A 12,254-nucleotide genomic window follows, 5' to 3' on the forward strand; every position below is an offset into this window, starting at 1 on the left:
GCTGCAAAGTTTCTCAAGCAGCACCTATGAGACCCTCAGGGTCCAGCCCCTGCCAGCCTCTCCATTCTTATTTCTAGCCCTGCTTCCCCTCTCTCTCCACTCCAGTCACATAAGCCTTCCTTCAGATCCCTGTGCTGTCCATGGTGCCCACCCACAGACCTTTGCACATGCTGTTCCCTCTGCCTGGAATGCTCTTCCCTCTCCACCTGGCCTAGCACACTCCTCCACAACCTGCAAGTCTTGGTTCTAGTGTTACCTCCACAGGGAAGCCTTCCAGGATTTTTCTGCCTAGAGTGATGTCCCTCCCCAGTACAGATTCTCATAGCTCCATTGCCCTCACTCACCACTGTGGCACTTGGGAGACAACTTGACACTTGCTTGTGTGATTATTTGATTCGTGGCTTTCTCCCTCTGCCTAAGGGTTCCATGCAATCAGAGTCCAGTCTATTTTTGCATTGCATCCTGGCACAAATATTAACAGCTGACATTTGCTGAGTGCTAACCATGTCAGGCATTGTGCTAAATATTTTCCAAGCATTATTTTGTTGAATCTTCTTGACAACCCTATGAGGTAGACACTGCTATCATTCCATTTGGCAAATGGAGAAACTGAGCCACATGGGATGAAGACATTGACCAAGGTCACTTTTTCTTTTTTTTTTTTGAGATGGAGTTTTGCTCTGTCACCCAGGCTGGAGTACAGTGGCATGATCTCGGCTCACTGCAACCTCCACCTCCCGGGTTCAAGCAATCCTCCCACCTCAGCCTCCCAAACAGCTAGGATTACAGGCATGCACCACCATACCTAGCTAATTTTTTTTTTTTTTTTTTTTTGGTAGAGATGGGGTTTCACCATGTTAGCCAAGCTGGTCTCGAACTCCTGACCTTAAGTGATCCGCCCACCTTGGCCTCTCAAAGTGCTGGGATTACAGGCATGAGCCACGGTGCCCGGCCCAAGGTCACATTTAATAAGTGGCAGGGTGGGACCCAACCAAGGCAGTGTCAGTGTCAGATGAGAGTCCGCAGGCAGCACTGCACCTCTCTTGTTTCTCCCATAGCATTGCAGTCTCTCCATGGCACATGCTGCAAGAACGTTTTCAAATGGACAGAAAGAAACACACACACACACACACACACACACAATCTGGAAGAACATGCACCAGAATGAGAACAGATGTGGTTTCTGGTTGGTTTGTTTTCATCTTTCACTTATTGTGTGTTCCAATTTTTCTATACTAAACAAGTATTGTTGATGCCTTTAAATTGAGAAAGAAAAACTTAAAATCTCTTTAACTTTGAGAAAGAAGAAAGAATGGAACGAAATCAAGATGTCCAGAGAAATGGTACACCATTCCTTCCATTCCACCCAAAGCCCCACCTTGGTAGAAGATGCAAAGCACTTTCCAGATATAAAGTCCTGGTGAGGTGGCAGGAAGAATGTAGGCGCTGGCTTCAAACAGACCCAGATCTGACTCTCAGCTTCACTGTGTGGCTTTCAGCCAGTGACTTAACCCCTCCTCTGACCTCAGGGACCTCCTCTGTAAAGTAAGGTCCTACTGTCTCTCCTCCAGGACTGCCATGAAGACTAGAGAGAAAGTACATAAATGACTCAGCATGGGATGTGGCACATAATAGATGCTCAGTGAATGGTGGTCATCAGCTTCAGCCCGCCCTCGTGAACAGACAAGAGGCAGCGTGGGCACCTCACAGAACCCAGGTTCCCACACACCATCTGGCCCCTTGGCTGGGCCTCTTGTGAGCCACGTTCCTGCCCTCTGGCTCCAGCTGTCTTCTCTCTGGGTTTCACTGCTTGGCTGGCTGGCTTAGGACACTGGACAGCCTGAGATGACCCCAGGGCAAGCTAGGGGTGGCAACCCCAGGACACAGGCCACCCAGACAGCTGTTTTCATGCCTCCAGGCATCCCATGGTGGGTAGAGAATATGATCCCCCACTACCACATCCCCACCATCTCCCAAGGAGGACAGAAGGAGCATTTTTTTCACCCAGGTGGAAATGCCAAATCGGCTTCTGGGGGCTGTGGTTTGGAGATCCTCTAAGGGGACACTCTTCTGAGACCTCGGGGAGCAACACAGAGGGAGGCAGAGAGAAAGCGGGAGAGCGAGGTGGGGAACGGGCCACCTGGAGGCCCCGTGGCATGGCTCGCCTGGTATTTACTTTCTGCCACAGCCTTGAATACCATCGGGCTCAGAAGGAATTTCCAAGAAGATCGAAATTTGAGGAAATCAAAGTTTAATTAGTCACAGCTGCCGTAATGTATTCCAGGTGATGGCTGGCACGGCTGTCTCCCCTCCAGCCCCTGACGCCTTTCACCCTCTACAGGGGCAAGTAAACACTGGGGTGTTTGCGGTGGGAGCCCTTCTCCCGGGTCAGCTGAGCAGGAATGGGGGGGTGAGGAGAGGGCCACGTGCGGCCTCTGGCCACCTAGGCTGCGGTCTGAGAGAGAGGACTGAGGGAGCCCTCCACGCAGCCATCTTCGCTCCTCTCCACTCCCTGCTCCACTCCCATTTGGCATCTTTGCAAGTGAGAGCAAAGGCCACGTGGAACGCTAGGGATGGGCTCAGAGTCATGGGATTAGGTCTCAGCTCACTCCTCAGTGACAGTGTGAGCTTGGACAAGTCATTTAACTGGGAGACTGGCAAAACAGGCAGGAGTCAGAGGGCCTGGGTTTGAATCCAGCTCTGCCACTCAGCTGTGTGGCCTTGGGAGAGTTCGTGAAACTCTCTGAGCCTTCATTGCTCCATGTATAAAATGGAGTCAGGCAGAGACTCATGGGATTCCTGAAAGAGTCAAACAAAGTAATATGAGAATGACGTTAGTGCAGAGCTGAGACACCACAAGAATTCAATGAGTAACTGCAGTGGGCCTCAGTTTTCCTATCGTCAAACTAGAACGGGGATCCTATGCTACAACAGATGAATAAGTGCTTTCAGCTCCTAACAAAAGCCCACGCTACAGGCATGCATGGATTAGCCTATCCGAGCAGTGGTCCGCAGAGAGAAGTGTGCTGAGGCACCCGCGGTGTGGGAGGGTTGCACCAGGCATCCTGGTGTAGAGTCCAGCTGCAGGGCTATGATTGGGGCATGGACTGATAAGGTGTGAAACGGGTTCAGGTGATGGGACTTGTCTTTGGTTCACCCTACTCTGGGTCTATGCTAAACTGAACCACGTCAGACGTCACTTCAGCCAACTGAAGTGTATGACCCCCTTGCTAGAGCCATGCCAGTGGGTGCCACCAGCACTCCTCCCACTCTGTCATCAGATCAGAAGGAGTTTCCATGCTCCCAGCTTAGCAGCTCATCAGAAGCTGGTTCTGTTCAGTTCCAACCAAGTCTGGGGACAGGGACAGTGGCTGGGGCTTGCCTTTCACCTTGCTCCTGCCTCCACTAAGCCCTAGCTCTACCCCATGCCTGGGGATCTGAGTGTCCAGGGATATAAAAAGAGACTGTCTCCACCAGGCACAGTGGCTCACGCCTGTAATCCCAGCACTTTGAGAGGTCGAGGCAGGCAGATTACTTGAGCCCAGGAGTTCAAGACCAGCCTGGGCAAATGGTGAAACCCCACCTCTCCAAAAAATTAAAAAATTAGCCGGGCCTGGTGGCACATGCCTGTAGTCCCAGTTATTAGGGAGGCTGAGGTGGGAGGATTGCTTGGGCCTGGGAGGTGGAGGTTGCAGTGAGCAGAAATTGCACCACTGCACTGTAGCCTGGGCGACAGAGCGAGATGAAAAGAAAGAAGAAAGGAAGAGAGAAAGAGAGAAGGTAGGAAGGAAGGAAGGGAAGGGAAGGGAAGGGAGAGAGACAAAGAAAGAAAGAGAAGAAAGGAAAAGGAAGGACGGAAGGAAAGATGGAAGGAAGGAGGGAAGGGAAGGGAAGGGAGAGAGACAAAGAAAGAAAGAGAAGAAAGGAAAAGGAAGGACGGAAGGAAGGGAGAGAGGGAGGGAGGGAGGGAACTGTCCCCAAGGACACAGAAAGCACCATGCCAGGTGGCTGGTCAGTGGGCAATGCTTCTGCTGCCATGAATGGGAAGACCCACATGTGCGCTCACAGAGACTGGGTCATCGGTAGGCACGAGCTCAGCTCCACTCGGCTTTCTGAGGTCTGCTGCAGACAGTTCCTTTGGGATTGGAGTCTGCCATGAGGTGGACTTGACTCCTCTCACATCCACGTGATCTCTCCAGGGCCCACTCCTTGTCCTCTTCCCTGCCAGCCACTCTCCCTCTGTCTCTCTCCTTTTCCCCCATCACTGAGAGTCATTTCTAGTCTGTTTTTGAAACTCAAAGCCAAGAATTTTTTCCTTTTCTCTCTTCATTTCCCCTTCCCTGAGTCAATGAACTGAAAAGCCCAGCCAACTGAAGGGAAGGGTCAAGGAGAGGAAGAAAACACCAGAAACCAAAACCTCCCAGCCAACAGTTCAAAACCAGTATCTCACTACACAGTAGAGGCAGCCCATGTGTAGCCCCAAGTACACCACCACCAGGTATGCCTAGGCAACCATGTTAGGTGGAATATTTTCCTTGGATAAATGTGTTATTCATGAAGACTGTCATTTGGGCAGTATTTATCTTCCTCTTACTCTGCAGCGGTGATTGAGAAGTAACGGTGTGGCAGGCACCATTTGTTGCCTGTGTGCAGCCAACCTGCCTCTACCACAGAGGCTGAAAATGGCAGCTGGTCACTTTCCCAGCCTCTCTTGCAGCTATAGATGGTCACGTGACCCAATTCTGGCCAGTGGGAGCTGGGAGGAAGTTGGCTGAAATGACTTCTGGGAAAAGTTTTTCTCTCTGGTTTAAAAAAAAGAAAAGATAGGTGAGGAGGAGACACCCTTCCTGCTCATAGAGGATGTGTGAGGTGAGAAGAAGACATCCCTCCTGCTCACAGAGGGTGTGTGAGGACTGTTGCTGTGGCAGCCATCTTGTGACCACAAGAGAACAAGCCTGAGAACAAAAGCCCATAATTGGAAAGCCCCTGGTTCTCTGAGGATATAATTGTGTCTTGTATAATCAACCTGCAGACTTCCTGTTAAATGAGAGAAGGAGTGGGAAACCTCTTAAGTGAATTAAATTTTAATTCACTTACTTGCAGCCAAAAGCAGCCCAACTGACTCTTAGAAAGCGTTTCAGAATTCTTTCAGGTCTGTGCTACTTAGGGCTCTTTTTAGTTGCAAGCAGCCACAGCAAACCAAACCAATTTAAACTTGCTCAGCCAAAAAGGGCAATTTTAAACATTAATATATGTGAGTGTCTTACGAAACTCAGCGGAAATATGACTGGGCCTCAGAACACTTGGAACCAGGAACCAAACCAAAGACTGTCGAGATTTTCTCTCTGACTCTCATGTTGTGTCTCACTGTGTGAGGTAATAAATTCCTGATAGTCTTTTTATTGCAATAAGTCTGATTGTCCAGAATTGACTTTTTAAATTTAATTTTAATATGCCTTGAGAAGAAAAATGAACATATTTCTTAGCTTTAAAACCGTTAAAACTGCATTTATATTGCAGAAGTACTTTTAACCCATTTAGACTGCGAATGATTTTCCTTTAATGCACTAAGCGTGTGTCTAGAAGGATCTGGAAACACTGTTTCCTTTTCTGCAGACCCACCATGTCCCATTCTGGGTGCGCTGAGAGAGTCTAATGATGAGAAATCTTCAGATGACAATGTGGAAGAAGGCTCCCTCTCTGGTGTCTCAGTGAGGAAGCCAGCGCCCCAGCGGCCAGACTCGCTTCACTTGGGGGAACTCCATTTCTGCTATGCAGAGACCATCTCTCTCCAGAGAACCTGCTGCTTCACTTTCCTAACATGAGTTCAGCATTCGGTTTCAAATCCTCTGTCAGATGCCAACACAGGAAGAATTTTCAGTGTCACCATGACTCCATTAACCTATAAACGCAACATTTTGAGTATGTTGTGTCTGTAAGAAGTAAAGTTTGTGAGGTTTTTTTTTTAAGTCTACCTTTTACATTTTTTTTTTAAGATCAAGTTTTGAGGCCGGGTGCAGTGGCTCACGCCCGTAATCCCAGCACTTTGGGAGGCCGAGGCAGGAGGATCACCTGAGGTCAGGAGTTCAAGACCAGCCTGGCCAACATGGTGAAACCCCGTCTCTACCAAAAACACAAAAATTAGCCGGGCGTGGTGGTGCATGCCTGTAATCCCAGCTACTCTGGAGGCTGAGGCAGGAGAATCACTTGAACCCAAGATGCCGAGGTTGCAGTGAGCCGAGATCGCGCCACTGCACTCCAGCCTGGGCAACAGAGCGAGACTCCATCTCAAAAAAAAAAATCAGATTTTGAAATATAAAAATTTGATAATAACACAATCAAAGGTGAGTATGAGAGAAGGTGAATGGGCATGAGTGAACGTCCAATGTCACACGTGTGTGGATGGTTTGGGGATTTGTGTGTTTTCAAAGCTTCTCCAGTGATCCTGGGGCAGGAGGAACCACTGTACAGCGTGAGTCCCTTGAGGACAAGAGCCCAGGTCTTATGCATCATTGAGTCTCTGCCCTTAGGACATATGTGACTGGCACATAGTAGGTGTTTAATCAACGTCCTCTGAATCAATGAATGAGGAAGAGAAAAGGTAGCAGTGCAGAAGTCAAGAAAGGATTTTCTGTAGGCTCTTTTCCAATCATAAAATATCAGAGAAGCTGCTTCTACTTTGGGAACTAGCCTCTCAAGAAAAGGGCTGGGGACCAGGAGGTAGGGGTGGGTCTGCCAGGAGTTCAAAGGGAGCCAGGGCCCTGCTGGGGATGCTGAACTGCAGCCAGGGCTGGGCTCAGACAAAGCGGCTTCTCAGAAGCCCCCTGCCCACGGGGAGGCTCACTGCCCTGCTCTAGGCCACAAGGAGAAAACGCGTTTGTTTACTTGACCTGAATGACATGTTTATTGAGCCCCCCTCCTGGGGATGCCAAGGGCCTTTTAACAAGCTCCCCAGAGGGTGAGTTCTGAAAATGAGTCGCTGATGAGCCAGAAATGGAATTTGCGAGTTTGCCTTCCCAGTCTGGTCCTACTGGCCCAAAGCTGCTGAGCAGCTGGGCAGAAGGTGCTGTCTTGTGAATCAGGGGCCTTGGCCTGTCCCAGCAGGCAGGGCACTGCGGGCAGGGCAGAACTGGGATGACCCAGCTGTGTCACACTCAACAGCATCTAGACAATCAAGGCAAAAGTGGTTTGTCACTCTAGTTGTCTGGATCAATCTTCCACTGCAGTTAGCTTGAGTAGATGGCAGCAAATGTGATGGGGAAAATGGACTGAGGGAGTTTTTTGTTTTTGAGATGGAGTCTTGCTCTGTCACCCAGGCTGGAGTGTAGTGGCACGATCTTGGCTCATTGCAACCCCCAACTCCCAGATTCAAGTGATTCTCCTGCCTCAGCCTCCAGAGTAGCTGGGATTACAGGCACGAACCACCACACCCAGCTAATTTTTGTATTTTTAGTAGAGACGGGATTTTGCCATGTTGGCCAGGCTGGTGTTGAACTCCTGACCTCAGGTGATCCGCCCACCTCGGGCTCCCAAAGTGCTGGAATTATAGGTGTGAGCCACCGCACCCGGCCAAGTTTCTTGAACAGAAACACAGTTTTCTTTCTCTTTGGTCCCACCAATTTCAGTTCTTGCCCAACACCAGCTACTCAAAGAACGCTGTTCCTCCTTTGATTCAACCCTCTCATTTTGCAGCTGAGGAAACAGAGGCCCAGAGAGGAGAAGTAACCTGCCTGAGTAGTAACCAGCTAGGTGCCTTCCATCAGGATTTATAGTTTACAAACTGGCATATCTACATACTTACTCTTGCTCAGTCCTTACAATAAACATGAGCTAGGTATTAGTACCCCATCGTTGTATTTTATCATAAAATTACTTTCCATTATTTTTAAACTTGCCTCTTGTTTTCCTCAGCATTCTATTTTAGGAAATACGTTCTTTTCTTGGATCTTACCGGATGCTGCTGCTGTTGCTGGTCCTCAGATGGCATTTGGGATCCACCGCTCTAGAGAACGCTGGTTGAGGCCCTGCGCAGTGGCTCACGCCTGTAGTCCCAGCCCTTTGGGAGGTTGAGGCAGGAGGATCACTCGCGGTCAGGAGTTAGAGAATGCTTGCTGCCTTTACTCTGATTGTTCATTTTTTTCTCTCTGTCCTTTCTTTCTTCTCCCTTATCCTTTTCTTTCTCCTTCATGTCTACCTTTTTCTCCCCTTCCTTCTCTACTTTTATCCTTAAGGGGCAGCCCAGAGTCTGTCTTGAGAGTGAAGAAATATGAGTTCCAGTTCCTGTGTTGTCACCACCTTGCTGGGTGACCTCAGACAAATTACTTCTCTCTGGGCTTCAGTTTCCCCATCTGTAAATGAGAGGAGAGGCTGCGCCTTTGCTCTTTGAAATTGCTTCCAGCTTGGAAAGCCTGATATGGCTACAAGTCTCTGGAATTCTGCCGACTCACTACTGAGGCAAATGCATTTTCTGCGTTCTGATCTGTTGGCTGAAGTCTTTTTTTTTTTTTTTCTTTTTTAGATGGAGGTTTCCTCTGTTACCCAGGCTGGAGTACAGTGGTGTGATCTCGGCTCACTGCAACCTCTGCCTCCTGGGTTCAAGGGATTCTCCTGCCTCAGCCTCCCAAGTAGCTGGGATTACAGGTGCCCACCACTATGCCTAGCTAATTTTTGTGTTTTTAATAGAGACAGGGTTTCGCCATGTTGGCCAGGCTGGTCTCGAACTCCTGGCCTCAAGTGATCCACCCACCTCGGCCTCCCAAAGTGCTGGGATTACAGGTGTGAGCCACCATGCCCAGCTAAGCTGGCTGAAGTCTTAACCAGAGAAATTGGGGTACATCAGTAAGAAGTCAGACCAAAGGGGACAGGCTGGTATTCATTCCCGCTAGAGAGAGTCCCCCTCAATGTCTCACTGCTGAATTTACCAGTGCCTCCTCACTGGTGACAGGGGCGCTTCCATGCACTCTGCTCCAAGATTATGGGCCATCCTACTTTGTTCTCTGTTATTGAGTGTGACGTGGCTGTCACTATTGATTCAGCATTATTGAGAGAGAAGCTTCTTATTTCCTCTTAGGGATTTTGACGGCAATCAAGATATGCTGGCAGCAGGGGACCAATGGAAACTTGGTAATGGTCTGAACCTTTTATACTCCATTATATTCCTTTGAAAAAAATTAAAATTGCTCTTAAAATGGTTAAATAAATATTTAAAAGTTAAGTAGCCTTAAAAGATCAAGATCTTTAAGGAAAGCAGCTCATGAACATAACACGATACCTTTCTTACAACGTTCATTCAACTCTACTCATTCTAACCATGGTTTTGTCTGCAGTGTTGTCAAAATACTTCTTCCAATTTCCTCTCAAATTGATTTTAAGAAGACAGTATTCCCAGTGGGCCTTCCCACTGAGCGTTGATGTTCTAGGGTTTGAGGACTTTCAGGAGTGGGTACTTAAAAGCCCTTATCTTTGTTCCTTCTAATAAAAGAGATGTGATTGCCTGCTTTTGAGTAATCACAAAGCAGGTTATTACTGGTCTTGAGAAAAGGTCACATGGCTGAAGGTGTTGTATTTACATCCTATTGATGCTGTAGCAAATTACCACAAACATAGTGGCATAAACAACACCAATTTTTTACCTTACCATTCTGGAGGTCAGAAGTGTCACTGGACTAAAATCAAGGTGTGAGCAGGGCTGTGCTCCTTCTGGAGGCTCCAGGGAAGAACTTGTTCCTTGCTTCTTCCAGCTTCCAGAGGCTGCCTGCATTCCATGGCTCATGGCTGTCTTCTCTCTTCAAAGCCAGTAGTGGCATCACTTTGACCTCTGCTTCCATTGCCACCTCTCCCCGTTGATTGGGACTCTCCTGCTGCCTCTTTCCCTTTAACGACCCCTGCGATTACATTGAATACACCCAGATAGTCCAGGAGAATCTCCCCATCTAAAGATCCTTGACTTCATTACATCTGCAAAGTCCCTTTTGCTGTGTAAGGTAATGTGTTCACAGGTTACAGGATTAGAATGCTGACATCTTTGGGGTGCCATTATTCTGCTTGCCACAGGTGTCTTTTGACTTCAGGGAAATTAATGTGATAGAGTGCAGAAGTAAGCCAGATTCTTCCCATCCCTATACTCATGCCCCTTCTCAACATGACTTCGCAACCCCTTCCATCAAGAGGTTGAGTCTATCTCTTTACTTTTGGAAACTGGGCTTGACCACATGACTTTCTTTGGCCAATGGGACATAAGCAAATATGGCACAAGCAAAGGCATTGCCTCCTTTTGCTACTCCCGGGAGCCCTGTGACCATACCCATGCGGAAGAGCCCTTGGTAACCTACTGATAGTAAGAGACATAGCCCAGTCACCCCAGGAAACAGCCAACCACGTACTAAATGTGAGACCGTTGTCTGTCAGCTGACTGTGGACACATGAAAGAGCTCAGCCGAGACTAAGAGAAGAACAGCCCAGCTGATCCCATCCCAAATTGCCAAACCATAGAATCCTGAGTAAATACCTTCCTGTTTCAAGCCACTATATTTCTGTGTGGTTGATTATGCAGCAAATGCTAACTGACACAACTAGGGACCCTCTTTTGTGCAATTAGATAGAGATTTTTCCATTCTGATCTCATGTCAAACATTTCCTCTTGATTCTGATGGGTAATTCAGGAGAAATTCAAATGAAATGAAATGAATTTCTGGTGAAATGAAATTTACACCTTACCATTATTACAGAGAGGTAGATAACTTTCCACTGACCATTTAAAAATAACAGAATTGCTTCCTAAACAAATGTCTAAGACTCTTAGACAAGAGTCTTATTTTCTTTACTAGACTCAATTTCCTGGAAGGCAGAAACAATGTCTTTTGGCTCAGGTCCCTCACAGAGCAGGGACTCAGGGTGGCGAGGGGTAAAGAACATGGGCTCTGGAGTCAGAAATACCTGAGTTCAAATCCTCAGGTATTTGAACTTTGTTTGCTAATTACATGAACTTAAGCAATCAGATAGAGGAGCTTAGGCAAGTTACTTTTTTTTTTTTTTGGCTTGTTTTCAGATTTATTTTCTTTCTTTTTTTTATTATACTTTAAGTTTTAGGGTACATGTGCATAACGTGCAGGTTAGTTACATATGTATACATGTGCCATGTTGGTGTGCTGCACCCATTAACTCATCATTTAACATTAGGTATATCTCCTAATGCTATCCCTCCCCGCTCCCCCCACCCCACAACAGGCCCCGGTATGTGATGTTCCCCTTCCTGTGTCCGTGTGTTCTCATTGTTCAGTTCCCACCTATGAGTGAGAACATGCGGTATTTGGTTTTTTGTCCTTATGATAGTTTTATGAGAATGATGGTTTCCAGCTTCATCCATGTCCCTACAAAGGACATGAACTCATCATTTTTTATGGCTGCATAGTATTCCATGGTATATCTTTGATGAGTTGAGAGAAGAAGGCTTCAGACGATCAAACTACTCTGAGCTAAAGGAGGAAGTTCGAACCCATGGCAAAGAAGTTAAAAACCTTGAAAAAAAATTAGACGAATGGCTAACTAGAATAACCAATGCAGAGAAGTCCTTAAAGGACCTGATGGAGCTGAAAACCAAGGCACGAAAACTACGTGACGAATGCACAAGCTTCGGTAGCCGATTCGATCAATAGGCAAGTTACTTAACCTCTCCCGAAGGCTTGAGTGGGAGGTGGGAAATGGTGATCCAATCAGGATCACCCACCTTCTCTGTTTTAGCCAACAGAAGCCGTCCAAGGAGGATTTGGGGGGATTGAGAGTTGATGGCCAGATTTTAAAAGTGGATCTATAAGGAGAGAAGTGGCAGGTGCTGAGGAAGGGGTTGGTTGGCATGCAAACCCAGGCCCTCCAGGAGCCCACGTGCAGACTGGCTTAGGTGGAGCTTAGGCAAGTTACTTAACATCCCTGTGACTTGTTTTTCTGACCCGTAAAATGGGAATAACGAAAGTACCTAACAAATAGAATGGTTCTGAGAATTACATACAATATGGGTAAGCACTTAGAAGAATGTCAGGCACAAACACTCAAAAGCATTAGGGATTATTTAAAAATAATAATCCCAGGGGAGGGCACATAGTAGGTGCTCAAGAAAGGCTTTTCCATTTGACTTGGATTTAGAGGATTTGGGTCTGGAAGGAATAGGAAGCAAAATTTCCAGCGCCCCAATTTAGGCAAACTTCTGTTCTTTGGGAGAGGCTGAGACATTATGGGTGTCAGCTCTCCTCATTTAGAAG

General features: G+C 47.4%; 2 annotated features.

Moving 5' to 3' along the window:
• Positions 4,638-4,838: a silencer, noted in NCBI's record as "peak123 fragment used in MPRA reporter construct". NCBI's record gives its function as "represses an SCP1 promoter by STARR-seq MPRAs in K562 erythroleukemia cells {active_cell/tissue: K562}" and the evidence as "EXISTENCE:reporter gene assay evidence [ECO:0000049][PMID:32103011]".
• Positions 4,894-5,073: an enhancer, noted in NCBI's record as "active region_444". NCBI's record gives its function as "activates an Ori minimal core promoter by ATAC-STARR-seq in GM12878 lymphoblastoid cells {active_cell/tissue: GM12878}" and the evidence as "EXISTENCE:reporter gene assay evidence [ECO:0000049][PMID:35858748]".

The sequence above is a fragment of the Homo sapiens genome, chromosome 1, assembly GCF_000001405.40.
Source record: "Homo sapiens chromosome 1, GRCh38.p14 Primary Assembly".
Taxonomy (NCBI): Eukaryota; Metazoa; Chordata; class Mammalia; order Primates; family Hominidae; genus Homo; species Homo sapiens.